General features: G+C 42.0%; 1 protein-coding gene across 13 annotated transcripts in view, besides 2 other annotated features; it reads right to left on the bottom strand.

The window, feature by feature from the left end:
• FMNL2 (formin like 2) overlaps positions 1–26062 on the bottom strand; it is a 314653-nt gene extending 288591 nt beyond the window's left edge. For all 13 annotated transcript variants that reach the window (XR_241279.5, XM_011510531.2, XM_011510533.4 and 10 more), the window contains exon 1: positions 25516–26062. Coding sequence is in view for 12 of the 13 variants with exons in the window: in XM_011510531.2 (XP_011508833.1) it covers positions 25516–25632 (117 nt within the window). In the remaining variant the exon portion in view is untranslated. The remainder of the gene's footprint in view (positions 1–25515) is intronic.
• Positions 25003–25102: a silencer, noted in NCBI's record as "silent region_12012". NCBI's record gives its function as "represses an Ori minimal core promoter by ATAC-STARR-seq in GM12878 lymphoblastoid cells {active_cell/tissue: GM12878}" and the evidence as "EXISTENCE:reporter gene assay evidence [ECO:0000049][PMID:35858748]".
• Positions 25613–26262: a silencer, noted in NCBI's record as "silent region_12011". NCBI's record gives its function as "represses an Ori minimal core promoter by ATAC-STARR-seq in GM12878 lymphoblastoid cells {active_cell/tissue: GM12878}" and the evidence as "EXISTENCE:reporter gene assay evidence [ECO:0000049][PMID:35858748]".

Here is a 26335-nt window from a genome sequence, read left to right as displayed (position 1 = left end):
CCAAGTTCTCACAACATATGCAAAACTCAAGAGATACACATTAGAAGTTATCAAAGAATAAAAAAAAGCCTTTTACAAATGTAGTACTTTCCATATAAATGCTTTTACCTGGAAAAAAAATGAGACTATAGACCCAAATATATTAGTATGCCTGCTAAAATTTAGCCCTTTTCTCAGTATCTTCTTGAGTCTTAATTATTCCCCACTGTTTATTATGCAGTCAAAAATTTGAAAAAGCAAATGTTTCCAATCTTAGCAATTACTACAAGGAATAGATATTGGCAACTCAGCAAGACTTAAGAAGTCTTATAAACAAATCCAAAGAGTAAACCCTTTCTTCAGTGTGAGCTTTATGAGCAAAGAGTTTAAATTATATCTGACCAGGTTGCTTCAATATTGTATTACAAATAAATTCTGGAATTTAATTATCATGTAGTACATCTTTTCCACCTAAAATAAGTCAGACCAACATGTTTTAAAAGAATAGAATGGTATAGAAAATGCAATACCATTCACATATAAAGATAAGAATTGTTTTATGAAGCTTGTTTTGATTTCCTTTGAATATACAGAACTTATATATACTGGGCCATAAATGTAAAATATATTTTAGCACCAGTCGCTGTCAATTATTCAAAGAATAATCTTAATTCCTTCAGAGTAGGCCATGAGTATTTACTTTCAGAAGACAGCATACAGACCATCTGTTAATAGGGAAACAAACAAACAAAAAAAAGCGTAGCTGGTCATGGTGGTGGGTACCTGTAGTCCCAGCTACTCAGGAGGCGGAGGTGGGAAGACCACATAAGCCAGGAGGTAGAGGCTGCAGTGAGCTATAATTCCACCACTGCACTCCAGCCTGGGCAACAGAGTGAGACTCTGTCAAAAAAGAAAAAGAAGAGAAGAGAAGAGGAAAAGAAGAAAGAAAAAGAGAGGAAAAAAGAAAAAGAAGCAACTGATTCTAAAAAATGGAGAAACAATTGTTCTCAGTCATCTTACTATGAACATTTCATAAATCTCATTCACTTACTATTCAACAAGTAAGATACATCTGAAGAGCAAAGATGCGGTTTGTGGCTTCGAAAACCCCCTTTATTATGCTTTAGTTGCAATTTCTCTTTTCTGACAGGATAATGAGAAACTAATAGTGATATTCCATTTCAATAAGCCATCCTTTGTGGTTTACAGCCTACAAGCTTGTTATTGAAGGATGTCACTTTCCCAACTTGTATCTACTCCAGGCCCTCCACTCTCACTATCTTCGACAAAAGAGGACAGAGTAGTTGAATGTGTGCCTAGTTCAAATGACGTCAGAGTGGCCAGCCAAAATCCCTCAACTACTTGCTAAGTAAATACTAAATACCGTAGGATTGTTCTGAGAAATACACATGAAACATCGCACAGTAAAAGCCCTCAAAAAGTAGTGAAGATTAAAACAACTCTTGTAGAAGTAGAGAAACCCCCATTTGAGCAAATAAACCAGGACAAACAGAATACACAAATTTTCCCCTTCTTCCAAAATTGCTCAATGGCTTTGTAAAGGGTGGTGAAAAACACAGGGATACTAAGAATCTCTCCCACCAAAAGATCAAAGACAGATTGAATAATCAGTATAGAAGCCAAGATGATCCTCTGTATGTTCTGTCTCACCACTGCCCCAGCTTAAAAAAATCAACTCCACACTTAACTTCCTAATGCCTGACTCTCCCTAGTTCCTTTAGTTGTTTTTACCTGTTATGTGAAAAAAAAAAAAAGGCTACCTCTTAGATAACGGCTACAACTGTGAAATTAAATGATGAATATATAGCACAACAATTAAGATTGGGCACTTAGGAGCCAGGGGACTCAAATTCAAATCCTGACTCTGTCATTTATTGTGTGACTTTAGGCAAGTTGCTCAAACTCTGCACCTAAATTTCCTCTTAGGTTACATGGAATTAATTACAGTTATCTCCTTGGGTTGTTGTTAAGATTAAATACATTAAAAGCACAAAAAAAGACTCTATAAATATTAGCTGCTATTATATTAAGCTTTCCACAAACAATCCGAATCTATATTCATCTCAAAGGTAAAGTTTAAAATGGATGGCAACTATTAATAATTTTATTTATGTTTGTAAAACTTATCACTGGAAATACACTGTAAGCTCCTAGATGGCAGCTCACTGTTAGTACTCACATCTAGTGCCATGTAGGTACTAAAAATTTTTTGCTAATTTCATAATATGTAGGTACAATCTGTGTACACTGTGGGGATGAATTTCTCTAACACCAACTTCATCAAGGAAATATAGCCACTTTAGAAAGCACTTCAACACTAATCACTTAAGTTGAATATGCCCAAGACCCAACAATTGTACTTCTAAGTGTTAATATATAACCTTAAGAAATTTATACCTGTGCATCAGGTGACATAGACAAGGATTTTGATTGTAACGTTACTTGTAATAACCTCATATGTCCATCAATATGACAAGAGATAGTTGACTCCCATTATTTGCAGTAGTTATTGTATTCATCAGGGTTCTCTAAAGGAACAGAACTAATAGGATATATGTATACATGAAGGAAGTTTATTCACAGAATTTTTTTTTTTTTTGAGATGCAGTCTTGCTCTGTCACCCAGGCACAATCTCGGCTTACTGCAACCTCCACCTTGCAGGTTCAAGCAATTCTTCTGCCTCAGCCTCCCAAGTAGCTGGGACTACAGGTGTGCACCACCATGCCCAGCTAATTTTTGTACTTTTAGTAGACAGGGGTTTTTCACCATGTTGGCCAGGGTGGTCTCAAACTCCTGACCTCAGGTGATCCACCCGCCTCAGCCTCCCAAAGTGCTGGGATTACAGGTGTGAGCCACCACGCCTGGCCTTATTAGCAGAATTGACTCACAGGATCACAAGGTGAAGTCCAACAATAGGCCATCTGCAAACTGAGGAGCAAGGAAGCCAGTCCCAGTCCCAAAACCTCTAAAGTAGGGAAGCTGATAGTGCAGGCCTCAGTCTGTGGCCAAATGCCCGAGAGCCCCTGGCAAATCACTGGTGTAAATCTAAGAGTCCAAAAGCTGAAGAACTTGGAGTCTGATGTTCGAGGGCAGGAAGCATTGGGCACAAGAGAAAGATGAAGGCTGGCAGACTCGGCAGACTCAGCAGACTCAGTGAATCAGCTCTTCCATCTTCTTCTGTCTGCTTTATTCTAGCCACACTGGCAGCTGATTGGATGGTGCCCACCCAGATTGAGGGTGGATCTGCCTCTCCCAGTTGACTGACTCAAATGTTAATCTCCTTTGGCAGCACCCTCACAGACTCACCTAGAAACAACACTTTGCATCCTTCAATCCAATCAAGTTGACACTCGATATTAACCATCACAGTTATGGTCTATAAAGTCACCATGGACACTGAATTATTGACCATTGAACCATTAGTTCTAGCGGAAATACACGGTTAGGCTCCCCAGAGCCTCTGGTTGCAACATTTTTGTCAACTGATCAATACATAAAACTGTGCTATGTATGTTTCTTATTTATTTTTATATATTAAACTGATTTAATATATAGTTATACATTAAACTGATTTAATATTTATCGTTATACATTAAACTGATTTAATATTTATCGTTATACATTAAACTGATTTAATATTTATCGTTATACATTAAACTGATTTAATATTTATCGTTATACATTAAACTGATTTAATATTTATCGTTATACATTAAACTGATTTAATATTTATCGTTATACATTAAACTGATTTAATATTTATCGTTATACATTAAACTGATTTAATATTTATCGTTATACATTAAACTGATTTAATATTTATCGTTATACATTAAACTGATTTAATATTTATCGTTATACATTAAACTGATTTAATATTTATCGTGATACATTAAACTGATTTAATATTTATCGTGATACATTAAACTGATTTAATATTTATCGTGATACATTAAACTGATTTAATATTTATCGTGATACATTAAACTGATTTAATATTTATCGTGATACATTAAACTGATTTAATATTTATCGTGATACATTAAACTGATTTAATATTTATCGTGATACATTAAACTGATGTAATATTTATCGTGATACATTAAACTGATGTAATATTTATCGTGATACATTAAACTTATGTAATATTTATCGTGATATATTAAACTTATGTAATATTTATCGTGATATATTAAACTTATGTAATATTTATCATTATATATTAAACTTATTTAATATTTATCGTTATATATTAAACTTATTTAATATTTATCGTTATATATATTACTTAATATATATTATTGATTCATTAACACTGAACTCACAGCCTCACAGCCAACAGCTCTCTAAATTCATGCATGAAAGAAGCTTACCAATATACATATCTTCTCCATAAGGCACATCTCAGCCTTCCTGCACTTAGTTAACACTGGACAGCACTTCAGCATTATGCTTGAAGTCTGTTTTAAATAGCAAAATCACCAAAAAAAAAAAAGCACAAAAGTGCAAAAAGTGTGGCACTAAATAGAAAGCAAAAAGGATACACGTGTACAGTATGCATGCTGAAACAAAAAAGCAGAGTCACCTTGTTCAACCTCAGCTGAGAATCTGCACATCTGGTGACAAATTTTTCACCACTTTGTGGTCTGTGAGTGACCATAAAAGCACTGTATTAACTTTGGGGTTACAGATACATTTTTATCAAATAGGCAAATTTGCAAATCCAGAATTCACATATAATGAGGATCAACTGTAATTTATGGCACATTTATTCAATGAACATAATTCAAAAATTAAATGACCTCTAGCCAGGCTGGGTGTGGTGGCTCACGCCTGTAATCCCAGCACTTTGGGAGGCTGAGGTGGGTGGATCACTTGAGGTCAGGAGTTCGAGACCAGCCTCACCAACATGGTGAAACCCTGTCTACACAAAAATACAAAAACATTAGCCAGGCGTGGTGGCGCACACCTGTAATCCCAGCTACTCGGAAGGCTGAGACAGAATTGCTTGAACCCAGGAGGCAGAGGTTGCCATGTGCCATTGCACTCCAGCCTGGGTGACAGAGCGAGACTTCATCTCAAAAAAATAAACAAAATAAAATAAATGACCTAAAGCCACATGCATCAACATAAATACTTCTCAAATCAAATGTATAAAGATTCAAAAGTACATATGGATTATAGTGCCATTTCTATAAATTCAGAAGCAAACTATAAGTTATTTTTAACAAGAGTGCATAGGAATGAGATGTGCCAATTCGGGGTAATTTTCCTCTGTAGCGGGAGAAAGGAAGTCAGGAGAGAACGAGCTTGGACTGTGTCTGTAACATTTTATTTATTTGGGTATGTATTCTAACCTAGTATTCTGTAATGCTGGGACTATTTTGTTAAGAATATGTCCATTAGAACTACCACTCAGTAGTGAAATACACGTGCTACAGAGCAACATGTTGTAGAAAATAAAACTACTCCCTGAAATTACAGCACATCATAGAGCAGTGCTGGAAATCATTTAACAGCGTGATGGACTATGACTATGACAAGGGTCTGTTTGCACAGAAGGAAAGAAGGCCTGTACAAAAGAGAGATGAAAAGGAGAGGGACAAAGGGTCAGATTTTCATTTCTAGATGCACCCTGCATATCTGCTGCTCCTTTGAACTTCATGGGAGTTTCTTCCCAGAAGGACTACATGCAGCACAGAGAACCACCCAAAAGCAAGCTTAGTCACTGGGACATGAGAAAAACCTAAAGCCCTAAAAAAATTACTCCTAAAGCAGGGGACAAGGTTTGGGAAGGAAAGCTCCTGAATGGAAACCAAGACAAGACGAATAGTTTCTACTGCCAAAGACCGGGGATGACCCATCAAGGTCTTATTTTCAATGGAATAAAGCAGTGGTTTTCTTGGGGCAATGAAAAAGATATCATCTAACTCCCAATTTTGTTTCTGCTCAAGAAAAAATAAATGTTTGTGATGCTGTTAGGTTTCATTTATAATTCTCCTCTTTGTTCACTTTTGGCAGTTACCATCATGAGCATTAGAGTAACGTCTAGCACCCCGCCAAAAATACCAGCATTGTGATTGATGTGTGATTCAAAAAAGCTGTCAAAAGGAATACTCCAAAAGAAATGAGTCACATGGCTAGGCCAGGCATGCTATTATTTTTGTACCATATTATAATCCTTTTCATCTGGACCTTCTTAGAGTTGGCTTATTACTTCCTTTCATGCTATTCTAAGCTGACTAAAGGCTACAATAAACGGCATAAGAAGCCTGACAGAATGGGTTCATACCTTCATTACTAAAATACAAAAATTAAGGCTATTTGATATGGAAATAGGGCACCAAGAAAAACATGCACACAGCTTCCGCCCATGCAATTTAAGAACCCTTAAGGGTCTGAGAACACAGAGAATTTTATCTCAGACTAGTCTGACAGTGCTATCAAATATTCTTTTATCTCACCAACTTAAAAAAGTAGATTGCCACTACAAAAATTTAGGGCAAAAGTGATATTTATCAGCTGAGAGAAAAATGAGCAATTTTCCTCACCAGATAGTAAGAAAGATGTGTGCATCTTTAGAAAATTCTAGGCTCTCATTTCTGGATGGTGGTGTGTTTTTATTTGATTTGGGACTAGCCTTTGTTTCATAAGCTTAGCTCTGTCTGACTCAGCAAGATCACGTAGGACGCAACCCAAACAGATTAATATAGAACCTTCTGGAAAAAATAACGCAGGGGTTTACTGGGGAATGTAATCTGTAATGTCTTCTTTCTGTGCCTCCTAGATCAAGTCAGATGGCACCGTATTCTTGATTTAAAACAATGCATCTTTTATTGAACAATGCTGTTAATCAAACAGAAAACCATCTATATACAAGTTACACAATTTTTTTTTTTGCCACTACTGGAATTCAGAATAATTCCAAATGACTCCATCCATTCCAGGATGGAGCTGGAGCCAAACAAAACTTCAACAGCAGTTTCTTCAAGGCTCAAATGGTCACAACTTCAATGTATTTTCTCATTGTGAACAAGCTGCTCAGTGGTCACAGCACCATATGTAGCATGGCAGTTGTCTGTTCCAATTATGAAAACACTAGCACTTCCATTAGGCTCTGAAATGGAATAGCCCAATGCCCTGAAACACCTGGGTCTCTTTTTCTAGAAAGAACAAAATATACAAGAGTCAACATAAATCCAAGTGGGGCTGCATGCATGGACCAGAACTTTGAAAACACTGATGTATCACAGAAGGTCAGTAGGTACAATCTTATGGCAAGAGTAGCAAATACAAGCCACCATTAGTTCAATTCTGGGCGTTCTGGGGGCCCTGCTTCACTTGTTCTTCACATTTGAGGTTGATGATGATTTAACTAAAGTTACCTGTAAAATATACTAGAATCCAGTTAAAGTCCACAGCTTGGACCCTAAAGCCAGTGCTTTAATAAAGTCAAATTTTAAAAGAGTACAAAATAATCAGAACAACCACTTCTTGTGAGGTGCTTACCTGACTGCCACAACTTGACTGTACTAAGCAATATCACTTAATATCCATAACAAGTCAAAAAGGTAGCTCTTGAGCTCATGACGGATGTGGCTACCAAGGCTTAGAAAGGTCAATCAATTAGTAAGCAGCAAAATCCTGATTCAAACTCAGGTTTAGTCCAAAGTCCAAGATCATAAACAAGCTTTGTTAAATAGACTTTGCAGAAAAGACTGTGGGCTTTCTAACAAAGTGAGTATAGGGACATATACTTACTTTCTGATGCTTGCAACCTAGAGAAGTAAGGCTTAGAGTCGACTGCCTTTGGGGTAGATTCTCTTACCACCTAAAAGGCTGATCCTGGTATTAATACTTTTTACCAGATTCTTCCAAGTTGTTTGCACAGATATACCTAGACACACACTCAAATCTCTAAGCATTCAGGCACAGAGCAGAATTCATGCAATTATGTATTATAACCTTCAGCCAAAGTAAGTTGTCTAGATTTATCAGCTTAATCTAAAATATTAGAAACTTCAACTTTAATATGTCCTTCTATAGCACATTATAAACATAACACATATATGTATGATAAATGCCTTTAAATATCCTATAATCTTCATTCTCTTACCTCCAGTATCTCATCTACTAGGCAGTTAACTACTCAAAGGCAAAAGGGAAAATAAAATTCACCTTTGTGTCCCAGCATCTCAAGAGGCCTTGCTTGGTACACTCAAGCAAAACATTGGTTAAATAGAAATAAGATCACATGGCATTTGTTTTTTTAAAAATAAGCAATCTCCAACACAAGGCCTACTAACACAATATAATAATGGTTGTTCTTCTCACATGGAAGTCCAAGTCTATGGGTTATCACTGAGGGCTGAGCAAAGGCTTACCACACAGCCTTCAAGCTGTAACAACACAGCCATTTTACTAGGGGCATTTAAAAAAACAAAGGTTCAGAGACAGTTGTCTGAAAGAGAGCCTTCAGAAAGCCTTCAGAGGACAACTGTTACTAGAAAAAAAAAAAAAAGATTTGATCACAAGCTTATTTGGCCTTTACTATTTCAATAGTGAACAGTGGCTTTATTCATCCAGTTCTCATTTTATCTGTAATTTTTCTGAAGGATATGTAGTTACTGTTGGTTCTGGGTATATAACAAAATGAACACAGACTGAAAAGATGATGAGCTTGCCATCACAAGGCTGTCAATTTACTTTGAAACATTTATATTTATTCTACATATAGCTTATATTTACATAATATTTTTGCATTGGGAGTCAAAACAGAATGTTAGGAGCACGGCTTTTGAGTCGAGAAATTTGATTTTCAGCTTTATTACCTACTAGAAATATGTGTTCTCAGGTAAGATTTTTAACTTCCCTAATCCTGAGTTTCTCATATATGAGACAGGGATATACCTACCTTTCAGGTTTCCTGAGCTACCATTCATGTTTACTGAAACGATTAAAGAAATACACAAGTGACCTATATTGTATTATTACTGAACATGCATGAAATCCACATTTAAACCCACATTAGGGCTACCTTAAAATCCTCACAATAAACAAAGCCACTAATATGTATTTAAAGACTTATTCTGATATCGAATTGTGTAAACCTACTGGCAAGCAGGAAGATACCAAAATTCCCACCCATCCTCCAGTCACTGCTAGAGGTCTGAGAGTTCTAAGTCAGAATTGCCCACTTTTCTTTTGTGGCTTCTCTTTTAATCATGCTTAAAGGTTCTCAAACTTTAACACGCATAAGAATTGCTTTCTAGGAGCTCATCATCACTAGTCATTAGAGAAATGCAAATCAAAACCACGATGAGATACCACCTCATGCCAGTTAGAATGGTGATTATTAAAGTCAGGAAACAACAGGTGCTGGTGAGGCTGTGGAGAAATAGGAATGCTTTTACACTGTTGGTGGGAGTGTAAATTAGTTCCACCATTGTGGAAGACAGTGTGGTGATTCCTCCAGGATCTAGAACCAGAAATACCATTTGACCCAGCAATCCCATTATGGGTATATACCCAAAAGATTATAAATTATTCTACTATAAAGACACATGCACACGTATGTCTACTGCAACACTATTTACAATAGCAAAGACTTGGAACCAACCCAAATGCCCATCAATGATAGACTGGATAAAGAAAATGTGGCACATATACACCATGGAATACTATGCAGCCATAAAAAAGGATGAGTTCATGGCCTTTGCAGGGACATGGATGAAGCTGAAAACCATCATTCTCAGCAAACTAACACAGGAACAGAAAACCAAATGCCACAAGTTCTCACTCATAAGTGGGGGTTGAACAATGAGAACACATGGACACCGGGAGGGGAACGTCACACAATGGAACCTGCTGGGATTGGTGGGAAAGGGGAGGGAGAGCATTAGGACAAATACCTAACGTATGCAGGGCTTAAAACCTAGATGACAGGTTGATAGGTACAGCAAACCATGGCATGTATACCTATGTAACAAACCTGCACGTTCTGCACATGTATCTCAGAACTTAAAGTAAAATTTAAAAGAAATAATAATTGCTTTCTAGGGTTGTTTCACTACAGAATTGAACATGTACTTTCATGGGCAACTTCAGGTATTTTTGGGATAATTTTAACTATACACAACTTTCACTTTATTTTTATCTTAAGAATTGCACCTCTTTATAAAATTCTTTTTGAGAAAGAGTCTCACTCTGTTACCCAGGCTGGAGTGCAGTGGTGTGATCTCAGCTCACTGCAGCCTCCGCCTCCCAGGTTCAAGCGATTCTCCTGCCTCAGCCTCCCAAGTAGCTGGGACTACAAGTGCGCGCCACCATACCCGGCCGATTTTTGTATTTATAATAGAGACAGGGCTTCACCGTGTTGGCCAGGTGGGTCTCGAAGTCCTGACCTCAAGTGATCTGCCCACCTCGGCCTCTCAAAGTGATGGGATTACAGGCGTGAGCCACCGTGCCCAGCCTTCTTTGTAAAATTCTTGTATGCCCCTTAAAATACAATAATTTTGTAAAGGAAATATAAAAAAGAAAAAGAGGGAAAGAATCTGAGCTACAAGCTAGTAGCAAGTTAACAGCAATAAAGTAATTCTCTTCCGTAATACCTTGCCTGTCCCAGGTCAACCTATAGCTTCAAGCAGACAAAGAAAGCCATTCTAAGTACTGGCCTTCAGAGTGCCTGCATTTAGGGCACAGCTCACACTGATCAAACAGTCCATTCTCAAACAGTCTGTCCCATGGGTCTAGAACAATGGCAATTCTGAAATACTCATTTCTTTGAAAATCACCTGAATTTAACAAGAGGCAGAACTCTGACTACACAAAACCACCTATAAGAAATGGCTCTGTTACCGACAACAGAGTGAGGGGACAGACTCCTGAGCCTCCACCTTGAGGCTGTCCCATGGGCAAGGTCTGAAGCTGTCTGGGCTGAGTATATCCCATATGCTGTGGAATGACCCTTCACTTGCTCCAGGGTCCCTGGAAACTGCTCCTGAACCAGCAAACGGAGAAACAAATCGTACTCTGGCTACTCCTCCCTCCCGAGGGCTCTTACCTGATCACACTAGCTGCCTGCTCCTCCTCACTCAGACCTTATCGGGATGACACCACTTCACATATCCCATTTTATTCTCCTCATGGCACTTTCCACCATCTAAACGCTCCATTTCTGTACCTGTGCATCCCCTTCAGGTCTGGCTTCCCCCTCTACGCCCTCCCATTAAAATGTAAATTCCTTGGGAGCAGACGTTCAATCGATCCCACCTCAGTACAGCATCCTCCAGTGCCTACAACACTGCCTGGCACACAGTAAACGCTCAAGAAATATTTTTTGGACTGTCTGAATAAAGCATATAAGCACCAAAGGAGCAAAAATGCACAATGTAGAATGAAAAGTGCAGCCCAGCAGTGGTTGGGACTGAGCTAGAATCTCACCTACTTCCTATTCCAAGGAAACATTTTCTGAACACTCAGAATTCAGAAAAGGCACCTTCCCTCCAAACCCTTAGCATATCTACATCTACACTGATTATGAAGCTCTCTGGGTTGCTTATTGTTGCTTGTTTCCCCAGCTACATCCTGAGTCCCTTGAGATTAAGGTCAGATTTTGCAGCATATAACACAAGTTGGACTCATTCAAAGCAGCTATTGTATGAAATAATGAGTTTAGTACAGAGGGTATGTGAAGAACGAACAAGAAGCATACATTTAATGACATCTTAGAGCTAACTCAGAAAACATAATAGTGTAGTGCAGTAGAAAGAAGCAGGCTGTCTCAGGCAGGCCTGGATTCAAACTCTGCCCCCAGGATTGGGTAGTGGCCACGTTAACACCCTCAGCCCATTGTCTCATTAGTAAAAGGAAGACAATACCTCCCTGGAAAAGTTGTCATGAGCATCAACGATAATGCATATAAAGCACCTAACAGAACTCGAGAGAATTCATAAACATCATTAGTTTACAGTGGAATGCACCCCGGAGTTTTAGTATGAAGACCTAGGACTGGATCACAAACTTCACCACCTTCTTATATAACTTCAAGCCATCCAGTCTCATGCCCTATTTGTCTCATTTATTTAAAACCCTTAGAAGTGGCCGGGCGCGGTGGCTCACGCCTGTAATCCCAGCACTTTGGGAGGCCGAGGCGGGTGGATCATGAGGTCAGGAGATCGAGACCATCCTGGCTAACAAGGTGAAACCCCGTCTCTACTAAAAAATACAAAAAATTAGCCGGGCGCGGTGGCGGGCACCTGTAGTCCCAGCTACTGGGGAGGCTGAGGCAGGAGAATGGCGTGAACCCGGGAAGCGGAGCTTGCAGTGAGCCGAGATTGTGCCACTGCAGTCCACAGTCCGGCCTGGGCGACAGAGCGAGACTCCGTCTCAAAAAAAAAAAAAAAAAAAAAAAAAAACCCTTAGAAGCACAGAAGACAATTGGAGAGCACTCTGCAAACAGCAAAGCACTAACATGCCAAAACAAAGAACGCTGCCCATTTAAACTTACCTCACTCCAACAAAAAAGAAAATATAAACTGCCCTCCTCCTCTTCTGCTAATTCACAAGGAGTCAGGGAAGCATGATGCCAACTTGTTGTCTCTGAATGTTTCGTATTCTTGGACACCTACCACAGTCAAGTGATAAGGGGAATACCAAGATGAATAAGAATCTATGACCAAGTGTCATTTCAACACAAAGGCAAGTTATGTGCAATTAATAGTCAGCCTAGTGTGGTCAGTTAAATAGGTATCCAGAGCAGCCACTCCAATTCCCAGTCCTCTTTCAGTGGGCACCGTTCCCTTATCAAGTCAGCAATCATTTGCTGGGACCCTTCCCAAGGCTAAGCCAAGTAAAAGCTGTCAGACCCCGTAAGACATGATCCTTGCCTTTCAGGAGCCCACAGTGTGAACTGGCAGGTGAAACAAAGACACAAACAAATGGCTAAGAATGTAATGAGCAACTACAAAGCTACATATGAAAGCATCTCCCTATTTTACAATCAGAAGTTATACAAAGTGATATTTAATCAAGTGCCTCATGAGTAAGAGATAATTCATACCACAAAGCGATCAAAGTAAGGAGAGTTGTTTTTCTCATCACCCCCATGCTGACGTGGGTCTGTAAGGACCCTCGGAAAAAGTGGGACTGTAGAAAACTTTGAAGGCTGGTATAGTTTCAGTAAGCAGAGAAGCGAAGAGAGCCCATCCTATGCAGGGGAATCACCGGGGGAAAAAAATACGAAGGAGAGAAAGCACAGGCCTAATCTGGGGACAGGGATTAAAAAACGAAAAAGAAAAAAAAAAAACTTCCAAGTTAGGGACTTGTAAAGAAACAGAAGAGGAGATGGGTCTGGCCAAGTCGTAGCTGGCTTCAGGAAGAAGGCTGTGAGGGATACAGGAGTTACAAAGCAGAGAAAAGAAGAGAGACCAACAAACGTGGCCATGAGCCCCTCAAATTTTATCTATTAATAATGTCTGGAATAACACAATAGGGCTGTGATGGGAAATTGAACCAGAACATGAAATTCACAGTCTTATACCTTTTAATATTTCAAGAGTCATCAAGAAAGATAACAAAAGCTAAAGGTCAGAACTTACACTTGAGAAGGAGCACATAAATTTTGTACCTACATATCCGTAATTCCAAGTATTAATGCCCAAAATTTCAAATGCTCATTTTCTCTGTGGCCATCCCTCCCCATTCATGCTTTACTTTGGGAACACAAATCAAAATATCCTCTTCTCAGTATTATGAAAAGCAGGGATACTATACACACAAACAAAAATACCATTAAGGTGATCAATGATGATATAACTAAAAGCAACAAGAAAATGCTGCAGTGTCAATATTTCCTAATGCTCAGGCCTACTTGGACTAGGAATGCTCTCAAAGGAAGTGGTGGAAACCTCATGGTTAGAGTCACTTGGAGTCAGACCACAAGGCACAATCCTGTGGCCTACTCTCTTCCACATGAAGTGTGACCGCTGAGAAAGTAAGTTCAGGTGAGCAATAACTGTGGCTGGGAGACCAGAAGCCAAGTCTCACCACTCCTGAAGAACAAGAGGGAGGGAGGGATTCTGATTCCTGATCTGGGAGTTGGTTGCAACTGTGTCTGGTTTGTGAAAAAAAAATTTTTTTTTTTTGAGACGGAATATCGCCCTGTCACCCAGACTGGAGTGCTGTGGCAGGATCTCGGCTCACTGCAACCTCCGCTTCCCAGGTTCAAGCGATTCTCCTGCCTCAGCCTCCCAAGTAGCTGGGACTACAGGTGTGTGCCACTATGCCCAGCTAATTTTTTGTATCTTTAGTAGATACGGGGTTTCACCATGTTGGCCAGGCTGGTCTCGAACTCCTGACCTCGTGATCTGCCCACCTCGGCCTCCCAAAGTGCTGGGATTATAGGCATGAGCCATGGCACCCAGTCTGAGCCACCGTGCCTGGCCATGAAAAGATTTTTTTAAAAGAGGATCAGGTAATATCATTCTAAAAAATGACCAAGAAAGAATTTTTAAATTTCTCCATTATCATTAGAAACATCAGAGGAAATCAATCGTGGAACTTTTTTTGTTGTTAGAGATAGGGTATCTTACTTTGTCACCCAGGCCGTAGTACAGTGGCATGATTACAGCTCACTTCAGCCTCGAACTGCTGGGCTCAAGCAATTCTCCCACCTCAGCCTCCCAAGTAGCTAGGACTACAGGGAGTGTGCCACTAAGCCAGTTTTTTTGTGTGTGGTTTCTTTTTTTAATTTTCACAGGCACAGGATCTTGCTGTTGCCCAGGCTGGTCTCAAACTCCAGGCCTCAAGCAGTTCTCCCACCTCAGCCTCCCAAAGCACTGGAATTACAGATGTGAGCCACCACACCCTGCCAGAACTTCTGATAATTACTGGTGAAATAATAAAAGTATAGGCCAGGTGCAGTGGCTCACACCTGTAATCCCAGCACTTTGGGAGGCTGGGGTGGGCGGATCACCTGAGGTTGGGAGTTCAAGAGCAGCTTGGGCAACATGATGAAACCCCGTCTCTACTACAAATACAAAAATTAGCCGGGCACAGAGGCATGCACCTGTAATCCCAGCCACTCTGGAGGCTGAGGCAGGAGAATCGCTTGAACCCAGGAGGTGGAGGTTGCAGTGAGCCAAGATTGTGCCACTGCACTCCAGCGTGGGCAACAGAGTGAGACTCCATCTAAAAAGAAGAAAAAGAAAAAAAAAACTATAGGTGTTTAATGTTAAAGACTTGTTTAATTAAATGAGAAATGAGACCTGGTAAATTCACAAATGATCTGGAGATTTCTAAGCCAAACAATGCTTTCCAAAAAGTGGACCCTGAGAACCAAACCAAACATTCTGCTATAAAAGGCCACTGGAGGGTGTAAACACTGGCAAGAGGAAGGGCTGCACAAGCCCAGGAGGCCACAGAGTTCTAAATGGCTTCTCCAGGTTCGCATCTGGATGGCCAAATTAGTTGGTGTAGAGTGACTTTATGGTAAGGCCCTGGGAATCCAAGTTTATGGCATCCTGGTCCCAAAACATTTGGCTTCCTAGGTTCACCAGGCAGAAGTCCTTGGGAATAAAGAACCCTGATTAGTCAAGATACTCCATTGTCACCAAAGAGAAAATTTCTTTGGAAGAACAACAAAGGTGACCATATCAGGGAATGAAAGGGCCAGAACTGAACCTAACAAAGCTATTCACCCAATTCACTGCCTTTGCATTTTAGGTTCTCTAGCTTTCACAAATAAGACATTTAGCAGTACTGAACTCACTGGGCAAAACTGAGTGTTGCCATGGTGCAAATCTGATCATGACATATCCAACTTCTCCTGCTATTAGTTATCATAATGCTTCCTTCTATGCCAATAAAAAAAAGAATGTTATTCCTTTTTTATTCAATTTATTCAATGAGGGCAGATGAGACTATTTTCAATCTTTCTGCCACTGTAAAATTGTCATCTTCTTTACCTTCCCCACCAAAATAAAACTATTATTATCCTTTACTATTCCCATTTAAATCCATACCCTCTCTTGCCCTGTTCCCTATTATTAGAAAGTTTTATCTAGTCATAAATCAACTACCTACAGTTCCTTATAAGATTGATTTATATTTCTAAATCAAAATGAAACAATAATTGCTACTATCCTCTCAGTTCCAGAAAACCACATATGCTGTCCTCAAACCCCAAACCACAAATGCTAAAAATTATGAATAAGAGGAATGTCTATTTGCTTACATTATAATGAATAAAGAAATAACTAGAGTCTTGCATTGAGAACAATCAGCTCATTCTTGACCTAGCATCCTATTTATCTTTCTATTCTCAAGGCTAATTGCTTATATAAGCATGCCAATTTGCCTTGATTATAGGATTCTTAATAAATGAATGTTGTTTACATTTCACAAGTATATTTGAATTTCACTACAGGAAGCCAAGCTCATCAAGTCTTTGTAAATGGTAAAACCAGAGATCAAAGCAAAAGGGCTGCATTGAACCAACAAACAATTAGGCTACAGAATGGAGGCCTAAGCAAAAATGCAATTGATTTATTGATTGTTCTACTCCAGAAGTATACTTCTGGGTCATTGCTTAATCTTACACCATATGTATAGAATTTTCTCACAAATTTTCATTATGATAATTTGGTGGTCATTTCTTAAATAGTTAAATAAAGTCTCTCTACCATTCAACAGGATTTATCCTTTTCTTCTGTATTTTTTCATCTTGTTGCTTTTAGTTGAATCAAATATCTTTCATTTTTTTAACTCTTCTCAACCTTCTCAATTTTGCCTAATCTATCCAAAATTTTGTTTAACTTCTTAAACAATCCCTTTTCTATTACACTCATTATCTTGTTTTCTGCTGGTTTTAACTCATAGGCAAATTGGCTTGGTCTTTGGGGTAGGAAGAAAAAGGGGGAAAACATCTAGCACAGTGGCTGTCAACCTTGGCTGCACATTCAAACCTTCTAGGGAGCTTTTAAAAATCCTGATGCCCAGGTCACATTCCAGACAAATTTATCAGAATTTCTGGGAGTGGAACCCAGGCATTTGTGGGTTTCTGTTTTTGTTTTTGTTTTTGTTTTAGAGATAGTCTTGCTCTGTTGCCCAGACTAGAGTGCAGTGGCATGATCATAGCTCACTGCAACCTCAAACTTCTGGGCTCAAGCAATCCTCCTGCCTCAGCCTCCCAGGTAAGCTGTGACTACAGGCATGCACCACCACATCTGCTAATTTTCATTAGTAGTAGAAATGAGGTCTCCCTATGTTGCTCCACACTGGTCTAGGACTCCTGGCCTCAAGTGATCCTCCTGTCTTGGCCTCCCAAAGTGCTGGGATTACAGGCGTGAGCCACTGTACCTGGCCCACTTGTACTTTCTGAGGATCGCCAAGTGATGTCAATGCACAACCAAGTTTGAGAACCACTACTTTAACTTACCAATACCCTTATTCTAGCTTAAATAAGGTGTTCTGCCAAACTTCCACGGAGAGAAAAAAAACAAGGAAGGGAAGTCAGGTTCCTGAGCAAACCCTCAACCAAGACAGGTCTTGAGACTAGTGAGATGTGTTATTTAAAAGCACCATCAGTCACACGTTAGTGTCCCAGCACCAGGCACATGGTCAAAAATGTGAACTATTTAAGCCGGGTGTGGTGGCTTATGCCTGTAATCCCAGCACTTTGAGATGTCAAGACTGGTGGATCACTTGAGGTCAGGAGTTCAAGACCAGCCTGGCCAATGTGGTGAAACCTTGTCTCTACTAAAAGTACAAAAACTAGCTGGGTGTGGTGGTGCGTGCCTGTAATCCCAGCTACTCAGGAGGCTGAGGCAGGAGGATCGCTTGAACCCAGGAGGCAGAGGTTGCAGTGAGCTGAGATCACGCCACTGTACGCCAGCCCAGATGACAGAAGGAGAATCCATCTCAAAACAAAAAAATATGAACTATTTGATATTTGACATCATTCCCAAAACCAAGCCATGGGCATCTTCTATGCACAGAAGTCAGTCAAGTGAGATTACTTCTGGGGATAGCAGGGTCTAAACACCTCAAGGCTTTCAGCTTCTGTGGCAATGGTTACAGGGGCTTACAAATGCATCAGAACTTCTGCAAAGAAAAAAGGAGACTAAGGTTACATGTGAAATGAGAGTCACCAAAGTCAATTACAGGCTAAACAAGAACACTGAAGATCATGGAATCACAGAAACTATATGAAGTTTGTCCTAGAAACTATACAAGACTAGAAATCATAGAGAGTTTGTGATAATTGCCTACCAGTGAACACTGATGGTCATGTTTTTCTGTTTGTTTTTTCAGAGAGTGAAAAGAATGTACATTTTTATCTGTCAACATCAAATACCATCATACCTGGTAAATAGGGCTGAATGTTGCCCAATTTCAGAATTCCAAGCCCGTCTGGTCCACATCTCCGGGCCTTGGTTGAGATCACAGTTCAAGAGGCAGCTCTCCAACCTAACAGCTCTTCCCTTAGACATTGCTTCCAAATTATATGCTATCAGTTGGAAACTGCATAGTCCTTGGCATTTATGTTGAAAGACAGGTTTCTGGAAAGGAGGAAGGGGTCACTGGGGAGGAGGGAGGAAGATCACCCTGCAGTATGAACAGATGGAATTCTAAAGGGAAGACAAGCAATGAGCTATCTCTGTCCCCAGTGTTCAAGTAGGTGAGAACTAAGAAGGTACATGAAGGCTCTCTAAGGAACCATGACTCCAAAGCCTAGGGACACACTTCTTATTTGCAGGGATGGCAGTGGCACTCCATAAAGAGCCGCTCTACAAGATGAGATCTGCCAAGCAACTGTATAGCTTGTAACTCACCTTCCCTCCTAAGTTCCTCTAGGCTGTTCCTTCTTTTATAAGGATTCAATGCTTTGTTCCTAAAAGTACTCCAGTTACAGCGTCCTCTTGCAAAGGAGGGGCAATCATCTATAATCAGTGCTTCTTGTATTAGCTACTTTTTTGACATCTATTACTTGCTTAAACCTGAGGGCTGGAGAGCCCACTTTACCTTGTCCCTATTCCCCAAGCTCTAAATATGAAAAAGAAGAGCACTGTTCATTAAGACCAAACCCTTTAAGCAACAGTTCTTATAAAGTCAAATGAATTTCCAGAACAAACATCAGCCCATACGTATCTTTTTCTTCTTTAAGCCCAGGAAGCACCTACCAGGAGATCTTTCCCCACTCTCAGGTGTTATAATTCTATGTCTAGAACCTGCAAGTTGCAGACTCACCTCAAAGAGGGCAACTTTCGAGCCAATAATGTACTTCCTATCTTCTTGGGCTGCAAAGGGCCTTCCAATCACCAGTGTTTGTCACACAGATTATCTGAATAACTTTAACGGAGAACTCACCATCCATTTTCAACAACTCTACATGTTAGAATATTTTTCCCTATGCTCATATGACTTTCAGTCACTGACCCTGGGGAATTCTACTCTTTAGACCACACAGAACACCCCTACACACATTTCCACCTGAAAGCTCTTCAAAAGCCAATGTCAACTAATGAATCACAATGTATTATGTTCTGGAAATTTTGTTTTCAAGTGGTATGATTTCCATCATCTCACGACTATGTTAACAATTGTGCCAAATTTTATTCCCATTCACAAAGGAGGAAAACCAAGGGCCAGAGGAAAGAGTTTCACTTGTCCAAGTTGGTGCAGCAAATATGATTCTAGAAACTAGGTCTCCTGCCTCCCAGGCCAATGCTAAATGACAGGCCACAAGCCAAAGTACTTCTTATCACTTACGGATTTAAGGCCACGCATACCATCTCTCCCCAAATTTCATCACTTTACACTGTTGCCAGTCTCTTCCTGGAGCCAAACATTTGCATTTGATCAACTTCTATCCTAGATACCCCAATATATTGTCACAGTTTTTACTGGTATTATTAGGAGGAAAAAATGCATCCTGATAATGATAACAGCCCTAACCATATATTCCCACTTTGGAGAATAAAACAGCTCAGGGAGTTACTGCCTAGGGTGAAACTGTAATGGTTCAAAGTGCCAACACTCCACCACCCCTCTTCCACACTCTCTTCCCCTCACAACAGGAGAAAGAATGTGAGAATACAAATCAGCAGCATCTGATGGCCTCACTACACTCCCACCCGCCCATCTGCTTAACAGACTTTATGGCAAGTGCTTTCCTTGGAAGTGGCTGAAAGGGAGCAACACCTTGCAGTGGGAAGTAAACTTAAATGTTAAAACTTGACCTTCCGGCCGGGCACAGTGGTTCACACCTGTAATCCCAGCACTCTGGGAGGCTGAGGCAGGTGGATCACGAGGTCAGGAGTTCAAGACCAGCCTGGCCAAGATGCTGAAACCCCATCTCTACTAAAAATACAAAAATCAGCCGGGCATGGTGGCACACACCTGTAATCCCAGCTACTCAGGAGGCTGAGGCAGGAGAATCACTTGAACCCGGGTAGCAGAGGTTGCAGTGAGCCAATATTGCACCACTGCACTCCAGCCTGGGCGACAGAGCAAGACTCCATCTCAAAAAGAAAAACAAACAAAAAAAACAACAACTTGACCTTCCTTTCCTTTTCACAGGTTTCGCATTTGGAGTATATGCGTTGCACTGACAGGTTGCCTATTCCTTCTGATTTGGAGAACAAACTTTTCAGCCAAGGTATTTCAAATCTGCCTTGAAAAGAAAAACTGAAGAGCACCTTTTTGGACCAGATCAATTTTTAACTCCATGCTTGAAAATAGAAGAGCACAGTGAAGATGCCAAAAGGCTTGACATCTAAAGAGAAGAAACTTCAAATGCACCTCACTTCAGTCACTTCTGAAGAATTTCTGCCAACTTTATCCAGTCTGAAATTTGCACTAACCAGACAGGAATTTTTTACTGCTAGTCGCAGGCCCTTTTTTTCTTCCCAGTTCTAAGCCTATGGAAGCATAATATAAAAGAAAGGCCAGGGGGAGTAGGGAACAGATCCAAATCTCTGCTGAAAGACTAGATTGGTTATTTAATAACTGTATAATTTTAGGCAACTTAGATATCTTTTTCTTTTTTGAGACCTGGTCTTACTTTGTCACCCAGGCTGGAATGCAATGGTATGAACACAGCTCACTTCAGCCTCGACCTCCAGGACTCAAATGATCCTCCCACCTCAGCCTCTTGTGTAGGTGGGACTACAGGTGCAAGCCACCACACCTGGCTAATCTTTTTTTTTCTTTTTTCATAGAGACAGGATCTCACTATGTTGCCCAGGCTGGTCTCGAATTCCTGGGCTCAAGTGATCCTCTCACCTCAGCCTCCCAAAGTGCTGGGATTATAGGGGTGAGCCACTGTGCCCAGCCTAAATAATCATTACTTATGCATCTATAGTATTGCTGATAGCATTAGTTACTGTGAGCATTAAATGAGAACATGTAAAAGGCCTACTCATAGTAGATACTCAGAAAATGTTCCCACTCCTTCCTAAAACAAAATGACCACATTCAATCTCAGGACATGCAGAAAAAAAATGAGAAGGAAATGGACTCAAATTAATCAGATACCAAAGCAGTTCCTGATACCAAATATAATACTGCCCTAAACCATTACTTCCTAATAATTTTAAATCTGTTTGCAGTGCTGCCTGACACCTGATATTGCACAAGATACAGCAGCTAAGACACAGACTTAAAATTGTCCTTTCCTCTGAAACTCAACAAAAGAATTTTAAGGATAGCTCTTCAACAAAGGCATCCAAGGGTGTGCCTTTTAAGTTGTAAACAGTGACTGCAAGCCAAAAATGAGTGAATAATATTATGCAGTGTCTAATGTAGAAACAGGTATTCTCGGACAAAAACCATCAGTTGTTCACCACATCCACCCAGAACCACCTTCTTATCATCATCTTTAAAAATAAAAGACATGGGAGTATTTGTGGATGTGTGTATGTAACCCAGGATGTCCAATCTTTTGGCTTCCCTGGGCCACACTTGGAAGAAGAAGAATTGTCTTGGGCCACACATAAAATACACAAAAACTAACGATAGCCGATGAGCTTAAAAAAAAATCATGAAATAAATCTCATAATGTTTTAAGAAAGTTTATGAATTTGCGTTGGGCCCATGAGGCCCACAGGCAGTGGTTGACAAGCTTGATGTAACCCCCAAAATTAGACAATGGTTAATAAATACAATGGAGGGCCACATGGCTATTACAGATATGAAGAACCCCCAAAAAACACAGGCTAATATTACCTATGAAATATATACATCCTTACATCCTAAAAGAACAAAGATTGAAGTACGTGGCTGACTTTATAATTTATGAAACACTTCCATATAAATTATACATAGGTTAGAGTATAACAGAAACATTGCACATACACACACACAAAGGCATATGCATATATGTGTGTGTGTGTGTGTGTGTGTGTGTGTGTGTATCTCACCTTCCAGCTGTACCTGAAAGGTCAATACAGGGAAGCAAATGGTTTAAATGTATACACTAAGACAGTAATTTTTTCCCTTAAATGTAAGTTTTATAACTATTACTATAATGATACTGAAGATACCTATCCTTGGGAGGATTAAACTCCTAACACTGGGATCCAATTTTTGCTAGTCACTAACTCCATTTTTTTCTATTAAAAAGATTACTTTTCAAAGTTCACCCCTCTAGTCTTAATTCATTAGTCTTTTATTCTCTCATTTCCATTCATACCCACTAATTTTTTATATTCGCACAATTTAACCCATATAAACTGATGGGGAGGGAGGGTATAGTCATTGAATAGATTTGTTCTCTCTTAAGGCTTTCCTAACAAGAAATAAAATGGACTTTTGTCATTTTAATTTTTGTTTACTTCTCTCTGAGGCCTTAAATATTCTAGAGCTGGAAGTTGGGAGGAACTGTTCTCCTAGCTTGAAACAGTCTGTTAATTATTGATGTTAGCCATACTTACAATGAGGTGCTTAGACACTTTTCTATACGGTATTACTATCTGGTTTTCCTCCCAAAACACCCGTATGATCTTTATTATACAAGAAAGTTGAACTGGTATCAATAATGCCAACACAATTTCCATTGCCCTCCACATACATACTTAAAAATCTGCCACTTAAAACTTGTCCTTCAAGATTGATGTCCACAATTAAATGGTTTGAACTGATTTCTTAAGCAACTCATGAAGAAAAGCAAAGTTGAGATTATCACACACACAACTCCAGAAAAAAAAAAAAAACAAGAGAAATCACCAACACTGCGCACTTCTATTGGCCCACGGAGATGATCTGGAAGGTTTCAACTCCTCTCACAGATTGTCAAAGAGCAAGTGGAGCTGACCTGGGACAAGGAACGCATCAATGGTCCAAATGCGTCCCTAGGAAGAGGGTTCCCAAGCTGACCTGGTCCCCCAAAAGCTTTGTCTCTACTCAATAAAAGGTCAGCCTGGTATTGTTTTTGTTTCTTGATTGAGAGGCTTAGAATATTGTAAACAATTTTAAAAGGAATTGCACCCAGTAACTGCGACACACAGTAGTGTAAAAGTAGCCACAACAACCCTGCCCCAAGAAGCTTGGGATGTACAATCATAATTGTCTAAATACTATATTTGCAACTGCTAGCCTTAACAAGAACACAAATCCACCATGTTAATGATGGGACATTATTTTTCTAAAGATTAATTCACACCATGTGTTATTAATCAGCAGGGTAAATGAAAGCTCAAGCAAAAAAAAATGCTATCCTAGTCAAGCAGAACTTAATTGCATTATTGTTATTATTATGGCTGCTGCACTGGTTTCCCTGTGTCACTGGCTCCTCCACCACAAGTATTCAGACACACACACACACACACACACACACACACACAGAGCACCACAGCATGGATGGAAAAACAAAAAAGCCAGAGCCAGGAGGAAAAAAAGCCAGAGCCAGGAGGTAAGAACCATATGTCTAGTAGGAAGAGGGTTTTGAAGAAAAACGTTTGTCTCTGGAAAAGCAGGTCAAGTATGCACCCAGGCCGCCTTGAGAGTTATGCCTAGGCCGTTTCATTTCAGTGTCCCATCTTGCACAACGGTGGGAGCAGCTGTGGGAGATCACAGGAGATGCAAAGCAACACAAGCAACCTCATCTGTCTCCCCGACGGCCACACCAGAGTTTCCAGGTGGCGGGAGAGAGAGCTCAGTTCTCCCAAAGAGCACACAGCTAACCTGCCATCCAGAACATCACTTCCCATACCAAACCATTCCTTTTTCAAGGCCTGAAGGCAGGCAATTTGAACGTCCTGTAGCTGAGCACACCTCAGAAAACCGATTTTTGATCTAGAACTCGAGTCCTCTGCCAAAGTTCTAAGTTTTCATGAAAACAAAAGAAGAAAAGAAAACCCGCAGGCAGGCACAATCGTTGGCTGCCCGGATCACGAGTTTCCCTTGCTGCCTAGTCTTGTGGAGTTTAGAGGTAACCAACTAGGAAAAGAGAAGTGTCCAAGTGTCAGGAGTAGGAATGAGCCCAATCTCGCCTGTGTGTGTCCCTCCCAACATCCCTTAGAAGAGGCTGGGACACTAAAACTGGTAGTCTGGGGGACCAACAGCAGTCCAGATCCTGGCTGGGGCAAGCCGCCACACCCTCTGCAGCTCACAGCACAAGCCTCGGCTGGGAGGGGCCCAGACACTGTCCCAGCAGGAAAGGGAGAAAGAGGGGAGTTTTCAGAGTCCTGGATTTGAGGAGCTGGAAAGCTGGGAGAAGCGGAATGCAGGAGGGAGCGGGGGACCTGGCTGGGCGTGCAAGAGGAGGGGAGGGGTCGCCCGTGCAGTCAGGACAGCTCGCAACACGTCCCCGCAAAACTCCACATTTTTGTGGTTTAAGATTTAAGTCTAGAGGGAACGCGCTGAGGTTCTCCCCGGCCTGGGTTTCAGATGCCCCTGCTCCTCGCCAAGGGCCGGGGCGCCGCACTGCTGTGGGTCTCCGCTTTCCCTTTCGGGGAAGCTCCCCTTGGCCAAGCCGCGACGTGAGCCCTCCAAGTTCGCCTCCGCTCACCGCCCGGCGCGGCGCCCGCGGCCGGCCACATGCGCCCCATCTGCCGGGGACTTCGCAGGTCCCGGGCTGGCCGCCCGAGGGATGGTCCGCAGGGGCTCAGGGTGTTTTGTTTTGTTTTGTTTTGTTTTGTTTTTTTTAAAAAAAAAGCCTAAGCGGCTCGCCACCTCCTCCTCCCAGCCCGCGCCACCTTCTCTTCACGCCCACGCCGCACCTCCCGGGCACACGCGCCGTGAGGTGCCTCTCCAGCCAGACAATGGGTTCGAGGCTGGTTGGGCAGCCGGCCCTGAGCCCCCATCCCCATCCCGGGACCCCGAGAGACTGAGCGCGGGGGACTGCCAGGGGGGTGAAGAGGAGTGCTGGGGGGCCACAAAGGGGAAAGCGGGAGCCTCCCCCTCGGGAATGGAGGCTCGCTCCCGGCACGGGGTGAAGGGGAGGGGCGGGGGTCAGCTGCGCCGCCCGGCCCGGGGCCCCGGGTCCCCGCGCCCGACCGCCGCCGCGCACTTACCAGCACGATGGCAAATCGCTCCTCCAGTTCACCTGGCTCTGGCATCGGCAGCTTCAAAGGCACGTTGTGCGCCCTGAAATCGGTCTGCTGCGAATCCATGCTCCCTGCGTTGCCCATGTCGGCGGCGCGCCGGGGCCGGGGGCTGCTCCGGGCCCCTAGCGTGCGCGTCGGAAATCAGAACAGCTCCCGGCGGTCGGCTGCCGCCCGCAGGCGCGACCTGCCCGGCTCCCCGCCCTCCGCCGCGCCCAGGCGGGTGTGCGGCGCGCACCGCTCCCTAGCAGCGCTCCAAGCCGAGCCGCCCCCCGGCCTCCCTCATGCTCTCCGCCGCCCCAGCGCGGCCCCGGCCTCTTTTCCTCGGGAGGGGTAGTTGGGGCGCTGGGCGCCTATGTGCATGGTGCTCCGCTGGCACACCGCCCCCTGCCAGAGATCGCGGCCCCCGGCGCGTGGTCCCTCCTACTCGGCCTTCTGCCGGGCCCGCGGCCGCCGCTGACACTTCCAGCCCTAGCCGGCCACGGCTGCGCCTGCCTGGCTAGCACCTGGAGCAGACAAATGCAGCTCCGCGCTCCCCTACACAATGCCACCTCTCGCCCGGCGCCCGGCCCCCGCCCCCGGCCCGGCTCCGCCCACTCGCCCCGCGGACTGCCGGGACGCGTAGTTTCTCTCCAAAGTGTCCGCGCGCAGAAACCACGCCTGCTCTAGAGCGCCAGGCCGGGTTGGGACCATTTGCAGCAAAGGCGATCCGTAGTCTCTGGAGATAGCATATTGTCACTTTTGACCCTCCTCACCCCAACAGTGGAATACTTACATCGTGTATATCATG

This window comes from Homo sapiens, chromosome 2, assembly GCF_000001405.40.
Source record: "Homo sapiens chromosome 2, GRCh38.p14 Primary Assembly".
Lineage (NCBI taxonomy): Eukaryota > Metazoa > Chordata > Mammalia > Primates > Hominidae > Homo > Homo sapiens.
This window is presented reverse-complemented; position numbering and strand designations above follow the sequence as displayed.